This window comes from Homo sapiens, chromosome 2, assembly GCF_000001405.40.
Source record: "Homo sapiens chromosome 2, GRCh38.p14 Primary Assembly".
Classification (NCBI taxonomy): domain Eukaryota; kingdom Metazoa; phylum Chordata; class Mammalia; order Primates; family Hominidae; genus Homo; species Homo sapiens.
In genome coordinates this window covers 89,844,306-89,870,816 of record NC_000002.12, presented here as the reverse complement: position 1 = coordinate 89,870,816, position 26,511 = coordinate 89,844,306, and the positions used below count along the sequence as shown (strand labels likewise).

At 40.7% G+C, this 26,511-nt stretch overlaps 1 long non-coding RNA gene, 2 gene segments (V, D, J or C) and 1 further gene, besides 4 other annotated features; all 4 read right to left on the bottom strand.

Annotated features, from left to right (window-relative positions):
- IGK (immunoglobulin kappa locus) overlaps positions 1-26,511 on the bottom strand; it is a 1,378,008-nt gene that overhangs the window by 364,552 nt on the left and 986,945 nt on the right.
- Positions 7,838-8,312, bottom strand: IGKV1D-39 (immunoglobulin kappa variable 1D-39). The segment is given in 2 exon segments: positions 7,838-8,133; positions 8,258-8,312. Coding segments are annotated over 2 exon segments (351 nt in total), but the record flags the coding sequence as incomplete, so codon positions are not given.
- Positions 8,123-8,133: a sequence feature (IGKV1D-39 leader sequence).
- Positions 8,258-8,312: a sequence feature (IGKV1D-39 leader sequence).
- IGKV2D-40 (immunoglobulin kappa variable 2D-40) lies at positions 18,326-19,059 on the bottom strand. The segment is given in 2 exon segments: positions 18,326-18,639; positions 19,011-19,059. Coding segments are annotated over 2 exon segments (363 nt in total).
- Positions 18,629-18,639: a sequence feature (IGKV2D-40 leader sequence).
- Positions 19,011-19,059: a sequence feature (IGKV2D-40 leader sequence).
- Positions 20,388-25,003, bottom strand: LOC105374862 (uncharacterized). The gene is made up of 2 exons (XR_001739587.2): positions 22,457-25,003; positions 20,388-20,495 (listed from the first exon to the last, which is right to left on the bottom strand). It is a non-coding gene; the product is annotated as an uncharacterized LOC105374862 (long non-coding RNA).

The window sequence follows — 26,511 nt, the reverse complement described above, 5'->3', positions numbered from 1 at the left end:
ACAACAAAAAGTTAGAAAAATCCTGAATTAACAACCTAACGTCATACCTAGAGAAATCTGAAAAACAAATGTGAACCAACCCCAAAGGTAGAAGAAGAAATAATCAAAATCAAACCTGACCTGAATGAAATAGAGAGGAGAAAAACCAAACAAAAGGTCAGTGAAATCAAAAGTTAGGTCTTTGAAAGAAGAAATAAGATTGATAGACTGCAAGCTAGACTAATAAAGAAAAAAGCAATATCCAAAGAAAAACAACCAGAAGTGACAAACAGGACATTATCACTCAACCCTCAGCAATAAAACAAACAAACAAACGAAAAACCCTTGGAACCTATAACCAACACCTCTATGCACAAAAACTAGAAAACCTAGAAAAAAGTGCATAAATTGCTGGAAACAATCTACCAAGAATCTCGCAGGAAGAAGCTGAATGCCTAAACAGACCAATAATGAGTTCTGAAATTGAATCAGTAGTAAAAAGCCCACCTATCAGAAAAAGTCCTGGAAAAAATGGATTTACAACCAAATACTACCAGACATATAAAAAAAGCTAGTACCAATCCTAGTGAAATTATTCCAAAAAAATCAAGGTGGGAGATCTCCTCTCTAACTCATTCTATGAAACCCGCATCTCCCTGATAGTAAAAACTGACAGAGGCACAATAAATAAAAACTTCAGATCGCTATCTCTCATGAACATAAACACAAACTTTCTGAAAAAAATACTAGCAAACATTATTGTGTAGCACATCAAAAGCTAATCCACCATAATTAAGCTGGCTTTAGTCAAGGGATGCATGGTTGGTTCAAAATGTAAAAATCAATACATGAGATTCACCTCATAAACAGAACTAAATACAAAAACTACAGGATCATCTCATTAGATGCAGAAAAGCCTTTTGATAGAATTCAATGCCCCTTCATGCTAAAAACCCTCAAAAATCTAGACAATGAAACTACACAACTTAAAATATTAACAGCCATTTATGGCAAAATTACAGCCAGCATCCCACAGAATTGACAAATGCTGGAGGCATTTTCGTTGAGAACCAGAACAAGACAAGGATACCCACTCTCACCACTCCTATTCAACATAGTACTGGAATTTCTAGCCAGAGCAATCAGGCAAGAGAGAAAAATAAAAGGCATCCAAATAGGAAGAGAATAAGTCAAACTATCTCTCTTTGCAGGCGATACTATAATATACTCAGAAAACCCCACACTCTCTGCCCAAAAGCTTCTAGATCTCATAAATAATTTCAGCAATATTTCAGGAAACAAAATCAATTTACGCAAATCAGTAGCATTTCTATATACCAATACCATTCACACCAAGAGCCAGTCCCAGAGCCCAATCCCATTCACAGTAAGCATAAAAAGGATAAAATACCTAGAAATACAGCTTACCAAAGAGGTGAAAGATCTCTACAACACGAACGACAAAATACTGCTGAAAGAAATCAGAAATGACACAAACAAACGGAAAAACATTCCACCTGCGTGGATAGAATCAATACTTTTGAGCTGGTCATACTGCCTAATGCTATTTATAGATTCAATGCTATTCCTGTGAAACTACCAATAACATTTTTCACAGAATTAGAAAAAAAATTCTAAAATTTACTTGGAACTAAACTAGAGCTAAAAAAAAAAAAAAAATCCTAAGCAAAAAGAGCAAAGCTGGAGGTATCACACTACACGACTTCAAGATATACTACAAGGCTACAGTAACTAAATCAGAAGAGTACTGCTACAAAAACAGGAACCCTAGACCAATTGAACAGGCTAGAGGATTCAGAAGTAAAACCGCACACCTACAACCATCTGATCTTCGACAAAGCTGACTAAAACAAGCAATGAAGAAAGGACCCCCTTATTCAATAAATGCTGCTGGGATAACTGGTACCTATATGCACTGAAATGGAAACCTTTCACTATATAGAAAAACCAACTCAAGATGGATTAAAGGCTTAAATATAAAATCTAAACTCTAAAAACTCTAATAAAAATCTAGGAAATGCCATTCTTGACATTTGCTCAGGCAAAGAATTCATGACATAGACTCCAAAAGCAATTGCAATAAAAACAAAAATTGATAAGTGCTATCTAATTAAACTACACAACTTCATTACAGCAAGAGACACTAACAACAGAGTAAACAGACAGCCTACAAACTGGGAGAACATATTCACAAGCTATGCATCTGACAAAGGTCTAAGATCCAGAATCTACAAAAAATTTTAAAAAAATCAACAACAAGAAACAACTCCATTATAAAATGGGCAAAGGCCATGAAACAGACACGTATCAGGGAGCAGTGAAATGAGTGCTGGGAGCTGCCTGAGGTCACTCCTCTGCTTTTTCCATCTGGTTTTAAGTCACCTAATCCATCAAAATAAATACAATTTTGCCTCACCAGGCACAATGGCTTCTCTCATAGTCAACTGATTCAATGATAGAACAAGTAGAAGGAATGAATGGATTGTTTCCTGTGCTTCTCAACTCTTTGGTGTTCTCATCTCCTAAGCTCACCGTGTGTTTCATCTCCCCTCTGCTGCACTAACATCCAAGTGCATGTGATGCTTCAGCTGCGTTACGCAAAGCTTCATTCTGAAGTCTGTTGAAGTTAAGAGAAACTTTTACCAGAGGAAACGTCAGTAAATAAAAACAATCCTGAAATTCTTCTAGCTTCCACATTTTCTCTACTTCCTCTCTAAAATAGGTAGAAGGAAACCTAAAAGAAGTTAATCAAAAGAAAACATACAAGCAGCCAACAAACATAAAAAAATGGTCATCATCACTAATCATCATGGAAATGCAAATCAAACCACAATGAGATACTATCTCATGCCAGTCAGGATGGCTATTACTATAAAGGCAAAAAATGACAGATGCTGGTGAGGTTGCAGAGAAAAGGGAATGCTCATACACTGCTGGTGGGAATGTAAATTAGTTCAGCAGTTGTGGAAAGCAGTATAACGACTTCTCAAAGAACTTAAAACAGAAGTACCATTCGACCCAGCAATCACATTATTACATCTATACCCAAAGGAATATAAATCGTTCTACTATACAGACATGTGCACACATACGTTCATGGCAGCACTGTTCACAATAGAAAAGACATGAAATCAACCTAAATGACTATCAAAGGTAGGCTGGATTAAGAACATGTGGTGCATATACACCATGAAATACTACACAGCAATTAAAAATGAAATAATGGTCCTTTAGAGCTACGTGAATGCAGCTGGAGGCCATTATCCTAAGCAAATTCACACAGGATCAAGAAACTTGATCAGACAGCACCGTCCTGTGGGCACAGCCTCCTGCCTCACCATCTTCCTGTCACAATAGGAGGACTTTTCTTTTTCTTTCTTTCTGTTTTTTGAGAAGGAGTCTTGCTCTGTGACCCAGGCTGGAATGTAGTGGTATGATCTTGGCTCACTGCAACCTCTGCCTCCCTGGTTCAAGTGATTCTCCTGGCTCAGCCTCCGGAGTAGCTGGGATTACTGGCGTGTGCTAGCATGCTTTTCTAATTTTTGTATTTTTAGTAGAGACGGGGTTTCACCATATTGGCCAGGCTAGTCTCGAACTCCTGACCTCAGGCAATCTGCCTGCCTTGGCCTCCCAAAGTGATGGGATTACAGGCGTGAGCCACCGCGCCTGGCCTTGGAATTTTCTTGATCATGGAGACAAGGATGAGTGATATCTTGATCAGGGAGGAGTGAAATCAGTGCTGGGAGCTGCCTGCACTCACTCCTCTGCTTTTTCCATCTGGTTTTAAGTCACCTAATGCATCAAAATAAACACAATTTTGCCTCACCAGGCACAGTGGCTTCTCTCATAGTCACCTGATTCAATGATAGAACAAGTAGAAGGAATGAATGGACTGTTTCTTGTGCTTCTCAACTCAAGCTGACCAAGAGGCTGCCTTTGCTGTTCTCATCTCCTAAGCTCACTGTGTGTTTCATCTCCCCTCTGCTGCACTAGCATCCAAGTGCATGTGATGCTTCAGCTGCGTGTTACTCAAAGCTTCATTCTGAAGTCTGTTGAAGTTAAGAGAAATTTTTACCAGAGGAAATGTCAGTAAATAAAAACAATCTTGAAATTCTTCTAGCTTCCACATTTTCTCTACTTCCTCTCTAAAATATGTAGAAGGAAACCTATTTCTCCTTGATTATCAGGTTGTATGTCCCCAGCCCACACCATAGGACCCTTTGTTCAAAGTTTGTCCTGAACCATAATAAGAACTAAATGGCCACATGTTCATCATTTTTTTCAATTTAATGCAACAATTATCATGCTAATTCTTTGAATTAAGAACTATCAACTGGAAAACCAGACAAGAGTGAATAGAAACAACATTTCAATCTTCTCTGTACCCATAATAAATAGTCATCTCTCAGATTCTCCTATTCTGTTAATGGGGGTAACAACGTCATACACATCAGTGTTTCAGGGCCTCCAGCACATCTGGTAAGACAGTGATTTGACATTACAAGGGTTAGTGTTTTGGCTTTTCCTGACTACTAATGGATTTTCTCTTTTCTATAAGGACAGCTGCCCCTGGACACATGACAACATCGTGAATATACGTTGCTTCACTTTTTTTTTTTTTTTTTTGCTATAGATACTTCCAAGTGATGATTCTGGCAGAAACATGACTGACAAGAAAGGCAAATCCATATACAGGAAAACTACCACTGTCCTCTGGATGCTGGGTTAGGTGCACTGTACTCATTTGACACGCGTTGTTAGTCTGATCACTGATGTGTGGTTAGATGTTAGTGGTTTGGGAGGGGTAATGCTACTTGGCAAGTTGAATGCTCAGAAGAGCCATAGGTATGCAAGCCTCATTAACTGAAATTCATATTGTTGAGCTCCTGCATGGATTTCTATGGTTCATGTCACTTCCTAAAAAATCTGGGAAAGTTGACTGACTGAAGGCCAAGCATTCGATCGTCTTAATTACTAAGAGCTGGTCCTCAGTAATGGAATAGATATGAATATTCACTTAGGAAGCATTTATTTTTGATCTTGACGTATTTTCAAAGATCCAGTCACAGCTCTTCCAAACCAACTTTGTCTCGAGTCCTTCAGTTTTGTTTCTTCTGAGGCCTGGTGATCTCTCCAAACCAATAGCCAATGTTATGGAATTGCTAATCCCTCTTTGCAAAGTGTACGGTGACTTCACCCTTCGGGTTTGCCCACTCTTGTGACTGCTAGTCTCCCAGGGTATCCTTTACCATGGCAGTGGTATGACATCAATACAGCACCCAGTTATGAGAACTCCATCCAGCATGGCATCATTGGCAGCATATGCATGATTGGACTTCCATAGGATGAAATGATTAATTTTTAACAGTAGGCAGTTATCCCCATTCATACCCTTTACCCCTCCACTTGAGTTAGAAAAATATTTTAAGGTGTAAATACCCATTAGGTGAGTATTTTATAACTAAAGGTTATAAAGGAACTTTCTGTAGCCACAGCAGATACTACACCAGGTCTCGGGCACCAGTGTTCTTATGGGGGGAAACTGAAATCACCTTCACAGATTTCATTTTTATATAATTGTTTTGTAAATATGCATGTGTTACTTCTATATGGATATATAAATATACTTAAATAGACTTATTTAAAGATAAATATGTGTACATATACGTATATGCAACCAATAATTTTTCAAAAATATAAATGCACCAATATGTATGTTATATACACTCAAATATGTATTTTCCCCAAATGACATCAATTTCATGGTTTTTATTGGTATTAAGTTTTAATGTTTTAAATGTTGTCTTAGTATCTCTATATATGGATTAATAAATATTCATATTTATGCCATCAATTTTAATAAAATGCATCTATCTAAATAGGTAGATGTATAAATACTGTATTGGTCAGTTTTTGCACAATAATTATTGACAATCAACCACTTAAACTCTTAGTGTCTTATTAACACTAAGTATTTATTTTCATATTCCTGAATGTTCATTTTAATAATCAGTTGGCTGATCCCAAGGCAGGGCTCAGCTGGTTGGTTCGGCTGCAGGGAATCGAGCTTGTCTCCAGCCTATGGATTGCATTTATCTGAGGCCAAGCCTGAAGGACACTGACTACTCAGGGCAGAAGATTCTCATGGCAGGTCGCAGGAGTAGACAAATCCCAAACCAAGCTGACCTGATACAATTAAGCCCGAGAATCTCTAACATAGGTACACACAACTTTAATTGATTCTTTCACTTGGTAATTATTAAAGTTTCTAAAAATGTTTACTCCATTTAAACATGAAGTTATTTGATAATTCTATGGACATATATAATTATGATTTTCAACCTTTGTAATCTTCAAAATGTTTTCAAATGCAATGTTGCATCAATTTGAAAGTAAAGCTGGGTGTGCTTTCAACATGTGACTCTCCATTGAAATTTTCTTAAATATCCTCATTGAGAAAAAAATAAATCTCTTTAGCTAAAATATCACCTAAAACATACCTTGTTAAGCTTTATGTAGATCACTTGTTACCGTGTTAAAATGAAGATTCTCTTTCAGGTAATTTGAGGTGGGCCTGCTATGTATCTTGCAAGGCACCCTCTCAGTATTGCTAAGGTGCTACTGGATTCTGGATAGTTTTGAGTAGCAGAGGACTTTCATATTAAGAGGAAAAATGCTACATCCATGTTTAGGATTTTCTCTTGTTTTCCTTTTTGTCAAGGAAAAAGGTTGTCAAACGATTGTTATAACTATCTATTTATCTTTTTGTTTTGTTTTGTTTTTTGTAGAGACAGAGTCTTCCTATGTTGCCCAGTCCAATCTCAAACTCCTAGGATGAAGCAATTCTCCTGCCTTAGCCTCTCAAAGTGCTGGGAATTACAGGCATGAGCTACCACACACAGCCTTATAATGTATTTCATACAGTTTCCTGATTTTTCTGTTTCATCTATGACTTAATGAAGTTTTCTTGCTATGAACCCAGAGTTGCTCGTAAGACGTGATAGCACATTCGAGTATATTCTGGGACAATCTGTAACTGGCAAAGTTTTGAGCCTTGTGGAAAGAGCAACCTTACTGACCTGTCAGCTGTCAATTCCCCATCGCTACTATCACTTCTGGACGCACATTTTCCAAAACTCCTTTTCTCTCTATGGTTTCTTTAGAGTTGCTTAATGAGAGGCACTCCCATGAGATTGGGAAGTCAGAGTGGTGGATTCATGTACTCTGACATCTGAAGTAAAACATGTGGAATTGTTTGTGGACTGGAGAATCACCTGGAGACGTGCTGCAGGCAGCTGAGAGCATCAGCACCCCAGCCCTCGGCTTCCCAGACAGGTCTGAGGATCATCACACGGTACTCAGCACATACCACCAGGGGCAGGTGCACTCTGACTTCTGCAGGAGCACCTGAGAATCCCCTGTCTCTAGTGGCTGCTTCACGAATAACATACCGTAGGCTTCAAAAAGACTAGTTTAGACTCTAATTTATTCAACTTGAACAATTTCTCCTTGAAATACCGAGAATAGCTTCTCTTTTGCTGTGTAAATTCCAATTATCCCATAACACAGACTCCTCAGGTGGACTTGTATCTCTTCCTTATTCAATCAGGACAGGCATTGTCACATCTTTTCTCCTGGGGATAGGGGCAAAAGAGGCTTAGAGTTCAGAGGAGCCTCCCTGGTCCCCTCTACAAAAGTCTCCCAATGACTTTCAAAACCTGACTGAGTTTGAGAAATGCTCTCAGCAGATGGAGGCACCAGGAGGAGCATCTGGGGTGGCTCGTCCTCACACATCTGCTTCCTTGGAGGTTTATGTTATGACTTGTAACACTGTGGGAGGGGTACTGTAACTCTGTTGACAGTAGTAAGTTGCAAAATCTTCAGGTTGCAGACTGCTGATGGTGAGAGTGAAATCTGTCCCAGATCCACTGCCACTGAACCTTGATGGGACCCCACTTTGCAAACTGGATGCAGCATAGATCAGGAGCTTAGGGGCTTTCCCTGGTTTCTGCTGATACCAATTTAAATAGCTGCTAATGCTCTGACTTGCCCGGCAAGTGATGGTGACTCTGTCTCCTACAGATGCAGACAGGGAGGATGGAGACTGGGTCATCTGGATGTCACATCTGGCACCTGAGATTGGAAACATAAAAACAAATATTCTTACTATTAATCATGTTATCAGAGAACTTCCCTGAAGTTCCAGTCAGTACTGAGCACACTGGCTGAGTAAATTCCTAGTGTTCTCCATCCTTACCTCGGAGCCAGAGTAGCAGGAGCCCCAGGAGCTGAGCGGGGACCCTCATGTCCATGCTGTGTCCTGACTGAGACTGACTCCTGCACAGGGTGCGACCAGCCCATAAAAAAGTCTTCAGGGCAGGAGGCTGTGCTCTGGAACATGCAAATCAATCAGCAGGGCATGGGGCAGGCTGAGCACAGCTGCAGGGCTGGCTCATCTTAGTAACTCAGCACAGGGGCAATGTCCCCAGGGTCCCAGGTCAGACCAGCGCAGCATAGATTTGCCTGGAGGGAATGTATTTCTCTCTAGAGCCGCTGTTGTGACAAGAGATATTTTGAAGGAAAAAAGTCAAACTTTAATACAAACCTAAGGACTATATGGAATAATATATTTTAGAGTTGTATTGGGAGTATACAGGAGAGTATAACCATTCGTAGGGAATGTCTAATGAAGTCTTAGAGGGTGGGTCTATCAGGCCTTCAAGTTACTTAAAGGGATGTGGAGAGTAACAATCCCTTTTGCTATAGTAACAACACCTCTGTGATTGTCACATGGTTCCCATTGTTTCATGTGAGAAAAACAGTCTTTATCAGAAGCATATTTAATACACTCCAAAGTATTTGTAGTGACCTTAAACATTTGTAATTACCAGTATATTTACAAGCAATTCCCTGCAGATGCACGATAATGATGCTGTGATTCCTCAGCGCCTGTGCCACTCATAGATCTTCCATTATCAGAGCTATAGGTCTCTGTAATACCCAGGGTCTCAATGGGCAGCAGCTTCGTCTTGGTTTGGGGCTCCCCTTATTCTGCCCATTTTTCTGCCCTTGGGTATTATTTCCCATAGGTCATCAGTATGAAGGGTTGATTAGTAATGCTAGATCTGTTTACTTCAAAAAACATCTCTGTTTCTTCCTCCAGCTGTTGAAGCCTGAATCAGGATGAACTTGAAACTCTGGGTCAATCTAGAACCCCACATCAATTGTCTCCAAAGGAAGAAGGCCAAGGTAATGCAACTTGCCTAATGCTCTGATCTGCTTTTCCCACCATAATGTTTGTGAGTGTTCAGGTGTGGCTCTCAAAAATCATGGCTTTCTGGAAAGCAATGGGAGGGAGAGGCCCTGGGGAAAGGCCAGGTCAGTGAACACTTTCTCTTCTGTGAGGGTGGCGACCACTCAGTGCATTTCCCTGCCCTGCACCATCAAAGCCACTTTTCTCTTTAGCAGTGAGTAGGGACATCATCCTGACTCAGACGCCTGCCTCCTTGCCTCACATCCAGGAAAGAGAGTCTCCATCTCCTGTCAAGCCACCGCTCATGTACACGGAGAAATGCTTTGAAGCTGGATAAAACTTGGAAACAGATTTGAACCCCTATACCTCACATGTCTGCCTCTGCCCAGGCATCCCAGCCTGGTTGTGCAGCAAGGGAAGTGGAATCAACTACATCGACATGAGAAGACTAGAACCTGGGGAGTCCAGGGAGCATTACTCATGCATCACTAAGGGTGGGCAGACTGCTGTGGTATAGCCTGTACACAACCCCCTGCTCCTTTCCAGGGGCCTGAATTTCAAGGGCAGTTACTGGTAAACTGCTTGCTAAGATTTAGGTTCAGAGAGAAGCAGTTCTGGATTGCAATACACAATTTCGTGTGTGTGTGTGTGTGTGTGGGGGGGTGAATATAGTTGTCACTCTTGCTACCCTTTCCCTTTTCCCTTTGCTGTACTTCTGCTGACCCCCCATGGCCATATCTTTTCCTCACTGCTCTATCTGAAGCTGGAGAAGGCAGCCCTGCCTGTACACATGGCCTATCACAGCACCTGGAATGAGCATCCTCTCGGAAAGCCCTCAATCAGTGAGGACAGGGAGGTGTATACATACCCCATCTCCCTCCCTTCTTAGGTGGAAAAATACTGAGACATTTTCCCATGTTTCCACGTGGGCTTGATCTCCATTCATCCTCTGTGGTAGCTTCTCGCTGAGGACATTTTCGGTATCGCTGCTCTCTTTCCTCTCTCACTGCCTTGTTTCCTCCTAGTGTTTACTGTGCATTATAAATATGCTGCCTGCATGGGCATCATTGTCCCTGAAAGATCCAACCTAAAACAGTGGACAAACCCTCATTCTTGGAAAGTATAGTCTGAATACTTGCCAATTCTTTTTTTTTCATGCATAGGGATATTCAGAAAATTTAGGAAACAGCTGAATTATCTAGGAAAGACAGCGTCATCAGAAGGGTCTTTATAATAGGGAGGAGTGGGGGTAACAGTCAGAGAGGAATAGGGACAATGGACAGGGATGCTTCAGTGATGGAGAAAGGGGCCAGGCAGCCCGGAACATGGGGCTATCTTTGAAGATGAAAAGCTGAGAATCAGATTCTCTCCCCTGGAACTTCCAGAAGGAATATAGAACTACGGATACCTTGATTATAAATCAGTGAGACTTCTCACTGCCAGAACTGTATGATAATAAATTTGTGTTGTATGAAACTAGTAAGATTCTGATAACTTGTTACAGCAGGAGTAGGAAACTAACACAAGGGGCAGGGGTGTCTTTTACCTCCTTAAGGGCATGGTTGCCCTCTGTTCTTCCAAATATTTTTATCTTGTCATTTTTTAGTGTCAATTTTAGCAAGACACACAGAAAATTTCACTGTGAAGATGGCTAGCACCAGAATCCTTGTTATGTGTAAACACTCTTGCATAAATCCCTTGATTAACTCTCGTACTCTCTGGATATGTGATTAACTCTTGTATCCTCTGGATATGAGAAAAGTAGGGGAATATTTGTTCATTTGTTTTCATATTGGGGGAGAAATCAGATTTACAGGACATCATTTGAGAAGGAAGGACTGGGACAGAAAGATGAGAATGGTAGAAAAGATGCAAAGTGTTCAGGGCAATGCAAGATGTGCTCTTGCCCTCGAATCTGAAAGAAAGACATTTAGTATTTGTAAAGACTTTGAGGAAGTTTTGCTTTGTAGACAAAACTGCATGAGAGCCTGAGTTTATAATTGGAGTAATCACGGTAAGGTGTAGAGGTAGCAGGGAGCTTGTGTTGAGAATTTCACACCACTCTTCTGGCTTTGTCTCTTCTTTGAATTTAAAGGCCATTCAATCGTATATGAAACAAACGTGGCCATGTGGAAGCAACATATTTAAGGTTATGCAGACCTGGGTTCCAAGCTCAGCCCTGACAATTGCTGACCACATATCTTTGGGCAAACCATCTCTGTTGAATAGTTTCAACTACGGGCTCTGATAACAGTTTACTCATCTGAAATGTATCACCAAGGGTATTAAGGGCTGTCCTGAGGGTTTCTCTAGTTGATGAAAAGACTGCTTTTCATACATATATATGTGCATATATATGTATGAAAAGACTACTTAGGGTCCCTTTTATGCGTCCTTGAGTATCTTAGAATGAAGATTCTAGATAAGATACTACTAGTCACATGTCATTTTTTTGTATTATTACACTTTAAGTTCTGGGGTACATGTGCACAACTTGCAGGTTACATAGGTGTACATGTGCCATATGGGTTTGCTGTACCCATCAACTCGTCATTTACATAAGGCATTTGTGGTCAATTTTAGAATAAGTGCGATGTGCTGCTGAGAAGAATGTATATTTTGTTGATTTGGGATGGAGAGTTCTGTAGATGTCTATTAGGTCCACTTGGTTCAGAGCTGAGTTCAAAAAGTCCTGGTTTGGTGGGTTTTTTGTTTGTTTGTTTGTTTGTTTGTTTTGGAGGCAGAGTCTTGCTCTCTTGCCCAGGCCTGAGTGCAGTGGTGTGGTCTCGGCTCACTGCAACCTCCACCTCCCGAGTTTAAGGGATTCTCCTGTCTCAGCCTCCCGAGTAGCTTGGACTACAGGCACGTGCCACCATGTCTGGCTAATTTTTTGTATTTTTCAGAATTTCTGAAAAATTTTGTATTTTTCAGATTTTTCATTGTGTTAGCCAGGATGATCTCCATCTCCTGACCTTGTGATCCACCCGCCTTGGCCTCCCAAAGTGCTGGGATTATAGGCGTGAGCCACCAAGCCCAGCCTCAGATGTCATTTTCAACTAAGAACTGTCAATATTTATTCTGTAACTAACAGATGCCCCTGTATATACTGGGTGGCTTCCTGTACAATGTTTCCATCATAAAAATCTTCTTCTAACCAATTATGTGTAACATTAGAGAAATGAAGGTGGAGAGTGCAAATCATCATACTACCTTTAGGCTGGACTTATCCTAAGCCCCATTTTTATTAGAATTCTTGGGCTGCTATAACAAATTACTAAAACTTTGGTGGCTTAAAGCAACAGAAATATATTCTCCTCCTATAGTTCTGGAGGCCATAAGTCCAGCACTAGTTTCAGGGGTCAAGAGCAGGCTGTCATCAAAGCTTCTGCAGGGACTCCAGCGGGGAGTCTACTTTTTGGCTTCTTCCAGCTTTTGGTGGCTTCAACTTTCTTTGGCTTGAGTCCACATCACTTCAATCTCTGCCACTGTCTTCAAATTGCCTTCTCTTCTGCAGACTTTGTTAAAATGTCTGTCTATGTCTATCTTATAAGGACAATCGTGATGTCCTTATAAGAGAGATAGACAGACATTTAATAAAGACAGGCCCATTTAGGGCCCACCTGGTCAATACAGGATAATCTGCCCAATTCATAATCCTTAATTTATATATGCAAAGGCCCTTTTCCTATATAAGGTATATGTATCGGCTGCATGGAATAGAACCTGAGCATTTGAGCATCATACTCAACAATAAACCATTAAAGAACATACTATCAGTGTTGGTACTATACACACATCACAGGCTCTTCTCTCTCTCTCCTCCTTTCTCTCTCTTCCTTGTGACTATAAATTTCCTCACTTCCCTAAGTGTATCCAGTGCCACCTATGTCCAGGTTAGAGCAGCACACATAGGAAGGCCTTGCTGAGGTTTTGCTTAGAGACCTGCTCTATCCCTCATTATCATTCAGAAAGAAGGACACAGCCAAAGACAGCCCTCAGCCATCTGGGGAGCAGCTGTCTTTACAGAGGACAGTCACAGGCTATCATTCTCTGGACCTCTGTTTATCTTCAGATGTCTGTGGCCCTCAGCCCTCAGTGAGGGTCTGTGTGGCAACTGATTCGAGTAGGATCCAACAGGACCCTTATCAGAACATCTGGTTCACAGAAGGCAGTGAGTATAAGGTAGGAGATCATCAGGGCTTGTATTCTGAGCACTGATCACAACACTGGTCATGACAACGCTGACCAGAACAGGATCTGGACAAAACAGGATGCACTACAGAAACTGGCCCAAACCAGCTAGAACAAAGATGGTGACAAAAACGACCTCTAGAGCACAGTGTGAGTGGATCTTCCCCTGGGGGCTCCCATCAGACAGAGTGGCAGCCATGGCTCAGTGCTGGGTGGTCATAGTATGAAACCCCCCCACGGTCTTTTCATAGCCCCCCTCTGACTGCAGTGATGTGGGATTTCTCTGTCCAACTTTCATGGCTCCAGCAGCTTCCGGGACTCTGTTCACAGTGGGAGGTCATGAAGGTAGTTAGGTTACTGATGGCCAGAGTGACGTCTGTCCAGACTCACCCCCTTGACCCAGGCAGGCATCGTGTCCAGGGAGCAGTGGGAGCCAGCAGGAGCTCAGTGTCAGCCCTTATTTCACAAGGAGCTAGGCTAGACACTGTTATTTCCCTGACTGGCTCTGCTGGTGACAGTGACCCTGTCTCCTGGAACACAGGGAGGGGCCTGGAGATGAGCACCACACAATATCCCAACTGTCATATAAGGGGGGAACAAATATGAACATCCCCAAATATTAATTGTAAGTACATACTTCATTCAGTTTGATTAAATTCTGAGAAAGCAAAATGGGCTAAAAACTTCATCTTGAAGGAAACATTCATGTTTAATGCACAGAAACTGATGATGAATCTTGAGTCCTCCCTCTTCACCAGAGAGTTGGAAAAACAGGAGGAAGAAGAGCAAAGCTGGGACCCCATGTCCACGAGGGCCTCCTGAAGCTGATCTGCTCACAGAGGGTGGGGAAGATGGATGAGTCAGCTTCCGCTGCCACACCGTAACACGGGGCTGGATGGCTAAACCACAGAATTTAATTTTCACATTTCTGGTGCCTGGAATATCCCAGATCGACGTTCAGCAGAGTTTGTTTTCTGCTAAAGACCTTATTCCTGGTTTGTAGGTGCCACCTTCTCACCATGTCTTCACACAGCCTTTCCATGGAGGGGAAGGCGGTTAGAGAGAGAGAAGAAAAAGGAGAGGTCTCTGGATCCTACAAAATCATGAATCCTACTGGATCAGGGACACCCCCTGCCATGACCTCAATTACATCTTTAGAGGTTCTGATTTCTACAGTCACATTGAAAATTAGGGTTTCAACATGAATCTGAGGGCACAATTCAGTCCATAGCAGGTGGGACACAGCCAAGGCCGTGCTTCCAGTCTCAGGGCATGGGGCAGGTTCCCACAGCTCAGCACACGGGTGGCTCCTCCCAGGTGCCCAGGTCACAGGGAAGATTTGACTCTAACTCTAGGGCTCCCTGTTGATAATGGGACACCAGCACTCCTACTTCCCAGTGTTCCTGAGACCATGGTGCTGTCCTTTGTTCATTGTGGAGCATGTGTGCCATCTTCAGGCAGGTCTTTGACATAGCAACTTATGGGACATTTGATTCTGTGATTGTGAAAATTAATTAATAGATTAATTAGTCATAAATAACAAATTAAACAATACATTGAATCAGAAACAAAGGAGGGCCAAATGAGGAGCTTAAAAGGAGTCTGAGTGTCTTAAAAAGACGTATTCCTTTCAAACAAGAACAGTTAGAGTCACAGATTTTTTTAACAATAACTTTTTAGTAGCAATTATGAAATAGTAAATGATAACTTCAAATAGGCTACTACAAATATAAGTTTACAGTCAAAAAATATTTTCAAGAATCATGTAAACACATTTTCAGATTAAAACAAACAAACAACGAATGTGGGTTTATCTGCAGATCCACTCACTGGAAAACTTCTCAAATGTGTGATTGAGTCAAAAGTACATTTGTCACTGATGGAAAGCTCCAGGTTTGTTTTTTTTTTTTCTGTTTTTGTTTTTAGTCTTTAGAAGAAAACAGCTTTCTCTCCACTCTGTCCCACCTCATGCTGCTGAGGATGGCTGGGCAGGCAATGACTGTGAGGAAGGAGGAAGGCTGTGTTCTCAGGGTGTTCGTGCCTCCTGCCCACCGGAGTGACCTCACGGAGCAGAGCCACCTACACCACCAAGGCCACCTGCCTGCCTCTGCACTGCCATGGCAACAGACAAAGAAACCTTGTTACATTTAGTTCACCATATTATGAGGCTTCTTTGTAATTAAATTTGATCATGCTCTGATTCTCCTTGTATCTCTCCCCTTTCAGTTTTGGGGATCATATACTTTTCACTATTTTGACTTGAGAATATATGCCTTTGGGATATCAGCATCATGTAGGTGGTATCTTTGTTTGCTTTCTCCAAAATATAACTAACTACCTTGAATGGGTTTTCATTTTATCTCCTGTCTCGCAGAAAAGCAGAAACTCAAGGTGACTAGGTGCTGTCAATCCCAGGAGGGCTAAAGGTGACGATGGCATTGCTTACCTCGTGCTCTTGCTACTTACATTTTATTTTCTTTTACTGCATTATGTAATAAAATATAGGGTCAATGATGCATTAATTAGTATTTTTCAATAACATATTGAGTGTCTCATATTTCTTAGTTTGAGAGCTCCGGTCTAATAAATATCTATGTACATTTTGCCACGCAACTTTTAAACCTAACAGAAATGACACATTGGAATTTTAATTGCACTTCCTATGGAATCTGTTATCTTGAAATAAATCATCTCAAGTATTATTTAAACCCTTAGCCTGTATCAGGATCTTGTTCTGTTGATTCAGTCTTTTGTGTCTCTACACCGTGTTATCACATGTGACAGACATCACTCATTACTCGGGTTCGTGTAAATTTATTTGGCAGAATGATCAGATCATGGATGCAGATTAGTGGTAACACAAGTGAAATACATGTTAGAAATGACTGGTTTGGGGATAGTTTTTTGCATGATAACACTTGGTCATATTGCAAAATTGCTGTCTTCCCACTTTCCAAACTTTCTCCTTTACCACTCACACGAAACTGCCCTCTCTAGCATTATGGTAGAGAAAGCACTGTTGCTTTTTTAACGAAAGCATTTCTGTTAGGTTTAAAAGTTGCATGACAAAATGTAGATAGATATTTATCAGACTGTAGCCCTCAAATTAAGGAAGCATATAAATTTAGAGCACTATTGTCAATGGAATATATTAAGAGCATAATTTTTCTATGCATTAACAACTAAAATAGAGGATTCAGATTTATTTTCAGGAATAGTATCATATAAAAATAATGCATTTATTCATTCTTTGAATCATTTTCTTATGACAACATAGCACTAAAAATTTTCTCTTTAAAATGCTATGTCAGTAAAATATTTTTAAAATTCTAAGAATTTGAGAAGGAAATAAAAATCTCATATAATTCTGCATTGTTCCTGTGGTACATTATGTAAACTTTATGTTCTCCATCTGAATTATTTTGTCTATTTTCAAAGCCCACTTTTGGAATTGGAAGAACTCTATTTTCAGTCAGCAAAAGGCAACTGAGGCAAATCAAACTATTTTGGTATTAGGATTTATATCTGTCCTGGATTTTAAAAATCCATAAGTAGTAAAAATAATTATCCTTGGCCATACTCCCATGAAAATAGCTGGTGCAGAATGCTTTTTCCACCATAATACTAGAGAGGGCAGTTTCATGTGAGTAATAAAGGAGAGAGAAAGTTTGGAAAGTGCGAAGACTTGGCTCCACCCAGGAAGCCATGCAGCAGTGCTTTCAACTCTGTGGTTCTTCACAAGTAACACATTTGGCCCCTTTTTGGATCCACATCATCAACTGCCATCACCACCACCAGCCACATCCCCACCCACCATAATCAAGGGCAGTGTAATTGAACAATAGCTGATCTCTCTTATGTTCTCTTCATGCTCCCATTCCTGCAGTCTGCCCAATCTCAAATTCTGAACTTTGGAAAATAAAACTGTTTACCTCATCCTGTATTTTCTCAGTGATCCCTGGAAAATACTACATCTTTAGTATACTGCATCTTCCAGTGTATGCATTTTATTTTTAAAACCAACTTTCAAAATTTCAAGAACTCCCTTTTTCTATCAGCAAGAGGTAATTGTAATCAAAGAGTTTTAGTATTAGGAACTTGCGTCTGCTATGAAATTACAAAATCTATTTGACACTCACAACCAAGATCTTACTGATTGTCCTCAGCCAGCTCCGCCAGAGGAGAATTAGTGAATAATCCTGTCTCTACTGTCTCATGGAGTGGAGAAGAATGGCAAACAGGAGAAGTAGGAATTTAAAAAGTGGGAAAATACCAATTTTACATATAACCAAATATTTTCTTTGAAAGGTACCCAAAACTGTTAAACCCTAAAATGTACTCAACATGTTTTGCCAGAAATGATCAGTAGTCTGGCCCTTTTGCTCAATAAATTTAAACAAATGTAGGCAAGGAAGGAGGATTCAGATGAGATTCCATTCTCCTTTCCCTATCATCCCAGTTTTTTACTCACAGGGCCCTAGAACCTCCTCATTTTCCTGTTGGTTATGAGAGTCAAGGCTGTGGCAGGTGACAGGAACATAAACAGGGGTGCTGACCTGCCGCAGTGGCTCACACTGTACTGCCAGCACGTTGGGAGGCCAAGTCAGGTGGGTGGCTTGAGCCCATGATTTTGACAACAGGCTGGGCAACATGGTGAAGCACCGACTCTACAAAAAAATAGAAAAATTAGCCATGTTTAGTGGCATGCACCTGTAGTCCCAGGCAGAGTCCTCAGAAGCAAACCCTGCCCTGTATTCTCCAACAGCCTCCTCTTTTGCAGACTCAGAGACGCTGCTGACCTGCTCCCCAGACAAGCAGTGCATGTGAGCAGCTGGGGCACCACAGCAGGGAGGTTTCTGTTCAGGGCTGTACCACTGTGGAAGGAAACTCTATACGTTGCATGCAGTAATAAACTCCAACATCCTCAGCCTCCACCCTGCTGATTTTCAGTGTGAAATCAGTGCCTGACCCACTGCCACTGAACCTGTCTGGGACTCCAGAGGCCCGATAGGAAAGCGTATAGATCAGGAGCTGTGGAGACTGCCCTGGCTTCTGCAGGTACCAGTCCAAATAGGTGTTTCCATCATCACTATCCAAGAGGCTCTGACTAGACCTGCAGGAGATGGAGGCCGGCTCTCCAGGGGTGACGGGCAGGGAGAGTGGAGTCTGGGTCATCACAATATCCTCACTGGATCCTGAAATAATAACAGAGAAGTGCAAGTTTATATAGATACATTATGAGCAACTTTCATAATTTCTCTTGTGATATAAATTTACAGTTACATTTTTAAAGTTTTGATTTATATCATGAAAAGTAGACTTTCTAAAATAGACCCATTATTTATTAGCCACAAGGGAACTCTTTTTTTTCAAGTTCTTAATCAGAGCACTGGTCATCGTTCCCTGGAGGTGAATCCTGATTATTCATAAGACAAACCTGAATTCCATTCCCTGGAGCATAGACCATGTGCCTCTATCACATTATTGGAATAAACATGTGAAGCTGTGGAGCCCACAGAGCTCACCTCCCACCCAGTTGTCCTCCCTCATCTCTTTCTGTCCTTACCAGGGACCCAGAGCATTAGCAGCCCCAGGAGCTGAGCAGGGAGCCTCATGGTGAGAAGGTGAACTGAGGAGTCCTGATCAGTCAAGGCAAGGATAGAGCTGAGCTTTTATCTCAGACTCACAAGGGAAGGTCCACCCTAGGGGACAATATGCAAATCACCTGGTGGGTGCAGTGGTGTGGAAAAGGTTGACGGGGCAGGGGGAATGTCTCTTCTGTGAACAATGTGATATAAATTGTCCTTTGGAATAAAACAGAACTAGATTCAGCCAAGTTTGCCCACAATCAAGGGAAGAAGGATCTGAAGGTGAAAGTTCGGACCTTTTGTAGGGACACACTGTGTAGGGCATGACTGTAAGAAAGCACCAGAACCCTGACAATGTGGAAATGTGTGTCTAGGATACATCTCTGGGAGGTGAATGCCATCTGGCTTGATTCCCTCCCAGTCAATCTAGAGTATGAAACAGGCCCATCCCCACAAGCACTGCTGAACTGAGAGCCTGCAAATAAAAAGCGGCCTGGAGCCAGTTCAAGGGCTGTCTGGTATCTACTGTTTCCAGGATAACTGTTCAAGAATGTTCAACTCAAATATTAGAATCTACTCTGCCTTGGCACCTGGTGAGTGAACAGCATAAGAGCTCTCTGTCCAAGCGCCTCACAGGGAGAATGATGTGAGCCTCTACATTTAGAGCCAAGAGCCCAGTGTAAGAAAAAGGAAAGAGAGACAAAATTTTGTGCCTCCAGCAGCAAATTTAAAATTCCTGGTGACCAGTTGTTCAATCTGGGATCTATCTCATCATAATCGTCTCACACATACAAGGTTAACCAGAGGGCTCTTTCTTTTTTGTTGTTTCTGTTTTTGTTTTTAGTAGAGATGGGGTTTCATTCACCAAGTTGTCTGGGCTTGTCTTGAACTCCTGACCTCAGGAGATCTGCCTGCCTTGGCCCCTAAGGTAGTGGGATTACAGGTGTGAGCCATTGTGCCTGGCCCAGAGGACTCTGTCTTAAGGGAAGAATCTTCTAGATTAATGATACAGAACAAATAAGAAATAACTTTGCATGATGTTTTTTCAAGTGATGATTAGAAAAGCTCTTCCCACACAGTCTCCCTGGTCATGTGGAATCAGGTCCTGTCAGGGCTTCCAGGTTCTCGTCAACTCTGAGTGAGACGTGAGTCTCCCCCAGCCTGGATGTGGTGCAGCCACAGCCACGAGTCCACAGATCCAAAGGAAATTCTCTGTGTATAAAGAGCAAGAACTGCATTCACAGTTTTACATCTCTGGGTAACCTGTACTTGTAACTGATATTTTCTTGACTTTATGTAAAAATGCTCACAGCTTAGGGATGTGAACCTACCATACAACTGATCATTAAACAGAAAAACAACCACACTGTTCTTTATTTGTCATCGATGTGCTTAACATTCCATTGAACAGCTCCTGAATAATGGTGCCAACAATAAATAGTTTCACAAGGACAGTCACATTTCTGAAAAAAAAATAATAATCCAGTAACAATGAAGGACTAGCTTGTAGTGTGATGTAAGCTTGGGTAATTTAACACAAAGCCATACTTAATTGCCCAAGAACACAAATAAATGCCATTGTAGGTAAGACTGCAAAGAAAGCTTGATCTGAATATCTTCTGGGGAATCTACCAAAATATCATTTTTTAATAAGATCGGAAAACATACTTGATTAAAAATGATATTGACCTTCAAATGTTGAACTCCATGACAATAATATGGGCTGATGATATTAAACAGTAGCTACGAGGAGGTATTGAAATAAAAGTCTCATATTTCACTGTTAAAATTTTATTTATTCTTTTCTCTTATTACATGTTGCAAATTTTGGGTACCCGACTTTTTTTCTGATGATGTCAGCAAATTCTGATCTGCTTCTTAGTGTTGAAAAGGTCAGACTCTTAACCATGGTAGTGAAAAAAAGTCAGAAACATCTGAAGCTGAAGGAATGGAAGAAGGAGACATAAACAGCCTAACTAAAATAGAACAAAATGGTCCATTTTATTGTTAGTTTTAAATAATTATTCTGAAAGGGTGTTAAATCAATAATCAGTTTTATCCATTATCTAATGCAAAGATTTGAATTGCAGGAAAGTGATTAACAGTAAAAAAAATTGCCCTGTTTTCTTTTACTGTAAGCCAATTCTTGAAAATGTTATTTTCACAAAGTATTTAGATTGCTTGAATTTAGGAGAGCATTGCTGTTTTCTATGAGAATGAATGAACCATTAAAAAGACTACCCCTGGGATTTTTAACAAAAATCTCATGATTTGTCGCCTTACATATCTGGAAAATGTAAAAACTTGGACAAATCCTTTTTTAGTCAGAAAAAGCCTTTGAAATTACCCGATTTAAACTGTAGACTTAAAGAACACTATTACTAATTCTAACCAGAATCCTCCCTCTCTTATCTGTTGATGCATCCTACCAGGGCTTTCACAGCAGCAGACAAAGCTGGTCACTCTACAGTGGACACAGACAAGATGGAAGAGCAACCTACATTTGAACCAGGGTGGGAGCAGGCCTCTATGTGTCTCTCATCTGAATCATGGTCATCTGAATGAGGGAGGATTTCTACAGGCAGGGTTTAGTGTGGCTGTGTCTCCTTTTCCTGATTGGTTAGTTTGGGATCCATGTAATTGAAAAGAACTGTATTACTCATATGACTTGAGAAGAGAGTCTTGGAAGTGGAATTGTTTGTGTTCATTACCGGGAATCAGTGTTTATGGGGTGGACACTGTGATCCTGTTTGTAGGGGGGTTGAGGGATTTGTTGGCTGACCAAGGAAAAACAGATGACCACAGACGGCAGTAGCACATGTGACCTAGTCTATTGGGTGAAGCTTTGACAGGTTTACAGCAAGAAGTCCCTCACAGCAGGTGGTAGTCCAGAGAATCAGGTGCCAGGGTTGTTTCTCAAAATGTGCAGGACACTGTAGAAGGGATATGCATTTAGGGGATGCCACACAGCAGCACAGTGGGGAGTTTCTGTGTCAGAGAGCTACAGAGACCAGTATTAAGTTTAAGGTTTTCATAAACCGGGGCTTGTCTTACCTACTGCTAGCAGATGTGGGTCAGGCTTTCTGGATATGTAGATTAAGTATTTTCTAAAAGGTTAAAACTATTCTTATTTTTGTGGTTTTTAAAACAATTACGTTTTAAAATTTGAGTTTGGCACAGGCCATTGAGAAATAAGCCCACAGTTTTGAAATAAACAACATAGCATTCTCATTTATAGATCCCTGTTGCACATCGTGTAGACTTTGTTCTACAGACTGTATTAGTCCAGACAGTGCAAACCCACACTGTTATGGATGAGGCTGAGACACACAGAGGCCTGTTCCCTACCTGAGCATCAATGAACCTTCTTTAAATTAAAGGTGAGAGTTTGTCCTTAGATGAGAATTAAGACCAAGTCACCCACAAATGGAGCTTCCATCTGTGAAGCTACAGGTCCTGTGAATGGATTCCTGGCTCCCAGGCACCTGGGAATGAAGCCGTCTGCGTTGTCTCACTAACTGAAATTGTCCCTCGCTGGAACAGAGATTCATGGATAAATATTCTGGAACACAGGGAGAGAGCACAGGGAATGTAGGCTCCTTGAATGTGTGTCTTCTGCTTCTGAGAATCTCTCTCTCCAAACATTGAAAGAAACAGCATTGTTTCCATATCAGACTTTTCTGAATCTTCGGACCCTGTTCTAGATCTGTCTCATCTGAACCTGTTTCCAAATGTTTCAATTCTGGTCTCTACTTTTTCTTGGAAAAGGTTTTCAGAAATCCTATGAAACTATCCACACAGCTGTGGGATTAAGTGGTGGGCTTCTCCTCTGTGCTTGTTAATATCTCTGGAGAATCCACCACACCCACCAACTGCACAAAGTGAAGTTATGAGTCTGTTTTCTTCCTGAGCATTCTGTGTCTCATAAGTTCCCCTCGAATTCACATCCTTGAAGAAAGGGGTCTCCGTCCTCAAAAGTAAAACTCTATAAAACCATAGCTTGCCTGAGAAGTTAGTATAATTTTTCTACTCTTTGAATGTGAAGTTAGCCTTGAGGCCTTATAGTAAAACCTGGTTTACTTGAGAGATGGGAAATGAAGATCCCAAGAAGTTTTTAGAGACTAAATTGGGGATTCTAGCCATTTAAACTGTAGTAGAAGCTGCAGTTGATATAAGAACTTCTATGAATATAACAAGAAAATAAAGTGGAATAACTTATTTCTTGTAACTTAGATAAGAACTTCAATGAATATAACAAGAAAATAAAGTGCAATAACTTATTTACTTGTAACTTAGATAAGATAGTTTACCTGTAGAAAAAATGAAAATAGAATTTGTGAGTTCTCACATCGTTTTTTTCATGTTAAACAATTTTAAGAATCAAGCAAATGTTTATATAAATTATAATTTATAATGTTTAAGACTCTAGAGAAAAATTATGGTTCAAATCAATCAAACTGAGTTCTAAAGACAGCTGAATTTTTCCTTTAACTGCTTCTTTTCACCTCCTGTTAGCAAAAATCAAAAGTACAGAAAAGGAAACAGACAAGAGCTGAATAAAGCATTTAGTGCTCATTTCTTGTCTTATAATAATACTATTAATAATTAATAATAATAATACAGCCTCTGCATTGACAACTGGAAATAGTGACTCTGCCCTTCTGGAAGCAGCAGCTTCACATCACAGCAGTGAACTTCATTATAACTTGGTGATTCTTGGGCAGGAGCTAAGGATCACCCAAGTGTAAATGCTCTGTGAAGAGCCAGTTGCCCTTATGTTGGAATACTTCTAGATATTAACTCTTCTAAAATATCTACCAGCAAAAAAAAAAAAAAAATGAAGCATCAGTAATAAAATGAAATAAATTCTGACTTCCCAGGAGCAGTCAAGAATAAAACTATCATGTTTAACAGAGGACTAGAGGCATAATTTCCTGCTAGCTACTGATTTAGCTGGATCTTACTCATAGTAAATAGTCTTACCTTAGTAAATTAGAAACATCCTCAACCTAGAAAATGGTTTCTTTTGTATTCTGGAATCCTAGCAGTCCTAGGCAAAAATTAATACTGAAAATAAGAAGGTACACAAATCTGTTATAACAGGAAAACTATTATACAATTATTTGTATAAGGCAAAATAAAAGGAAGAAACCTATTGACTTATGGAAGATTAAAGCAAATACTTACTAGTCATTAATAGTCCTAATAAGCCATAAAGCAAGAGTAATATCTTTTGTCTCTGGCTTGTGATGGTATTAAATTTCAAAATAATGATTTTGTTTTGGGTTAAAACTAACTTCATAGGTTTTCTCAGAGTAGGTCATCTTACTCAGAAGTTATAGAGGAAAATGAAAATAAAGAAAAACCTATTATGAAATTTGCCCCAGGTTAACCTTTGCAGAGAGACTAAGAGAAGGATACCATTTAAATGATCCTATTAATAGCATTAAAATATTTAATTTGCTAGGCAAATCTAAAATCAACCTTTTCTCTAGAATTTGAAGGAAGACAATTATATATTTAGAGAATTTGACTTGAGTGTCCTTGTGAGTGGCTGACAGACAAACAGACCAGATGAATGTTGGTGCAGTAGAATCAAGGACATCACAACATTAAATTTTCCTCATTAGAGAGCAAGTCCAGATACTGCACCACGACCGGGTCAATGATCAGAAAATTACTTGGGAACTCTTTGTGGCTGCCTAGTCATATTGTGGCTGTGGTTGAGAGGCTGATTTCCCCTGGCTGGTATTGCCCTGCACCTTGAATCTGGGCATTCGTCTCTACTGCTGCCATCAAATGCCACTAAATGGTGTCCCCATTAATAAGGCCTTTGTAATGTGTGTAACATAAAGACGGAGTGAATCAGAGTTCAGGATTACAGGAATATTTATTTTATTCCAGTGTTGTTAATATGTGTCTTTGTCTTTCAAAGAAGGAAGCCACAAATAGGACTTCTTTGGTTTCTGGAGGCTACATATTCTACCCGTTGGAATACAGGTTTGGCCCAGCAGGTGACATGAAAGTCAGCCAGTCGTGAGTGGGACTCAGGATAGAAAAGGGCTCTGCAGCAGATCCAGGTTGAAGTGCAAACGGCCCAGCCTCTTGGGCCACTGCGGATGCAAACGACTTCAACAATGCTATCAACCATCTGGACAAGGCTGATACTTAGAGAACACTCCACCAAACCACAGCAGATTCCATGGTCTTTCAAAACATTGGCTAATGATACACTATATTTTGGGCAACAAGATATTTCAAAAAAACCAAGCTGATTAAATCAAAAAAATAAATTATTCATAACTGAGGGGATTGTATTAGAAATCAGAAACAGAAAGTTATCAGAATGGGGTTGGTGGGAGAAGGAGGAGGAATGAAAAATTACCTATTGGGCACAAGGTACACTGTTCGGGTGATGGGTAGCTAAAGCCCAGAGTTCACTACTATACAATTCATCAGTGTAACCAAAAACAACTCTTACCAATAAAGCCACTGAAATTCTAAATTTAATTTTTTAAAAATTTGCCAAAAAGAATCTAAATATTTGGAAAATATGTAAAGTACCACTATATGTAGTTTGGGGCAAAGAAGCAACAAAAAGGGAAATTAAAAAGTACTTGGATCTGAAAGTAAACATCACATATCCAAATTTATGAGATTCAAAAAAATGCAGTTAATTTATAGCATTATGAATGTGTTTTAGCAAAGAAGTTTTCACATCAATCACTGGAAATGTAATCCTGACAAACTAGGAAAAAAAGAATAAATGCCACTCAAAAGAAGGGTCTTTTATTCTTAGAAATGTGAGGATGTGACAAGCACACATCTAGTATTCCACCAATACAGTCATATCAGTCTCCAAATGAAAACACCATTAGCAGCTGCACAAGAAGAAAGTCTTAGAGTGGACGAGCAGAGTGAGTTACTGCTCAGAGAGAATGAGGAGTCAGGGAAAGTCAAAATAGGATTCCTGTGTGATATTATTATGAGCTGCACAAACATGAGACTGCCCTGAGCCCTGACTTACTCATAAGCCGAACATCATGGAGTGCAGGCCATTTTCCAGCCTCCTGATGGTTGGTGAGAGTGGGGTCACTTGGCAAAGGCATGGAGACTCGCTATGAAGGTCATCAGTGGCAGCAGGTGAGGACAGGACACACTAGGGTTCCCTTACAGTGACATGACTGAGCATCCCTACAGCCATGAGAACAGCAGGGAACCTTAGGGGCTGCTCCAGGGATGATGTGGCAGCAAACCCTGGAGGGTTGGTGGGGCTTCAGCGCCCTACATGTGGAGGAAAGAGGAGGCTTTGGAAGGTGTCCTGGAGGACCCTGGCCCTGTTCACACAGAAGAGGAGCCTGTGCCTATGACTAAGGCCTCATGGCCTCTTCCTTCCTCAAAGGCTTTCCAGTCATCTCCCTGAGCCCACCTGACTCCAACTGCTGGAGACACATCCCCTGGCACCGCACCTGCTCCTGC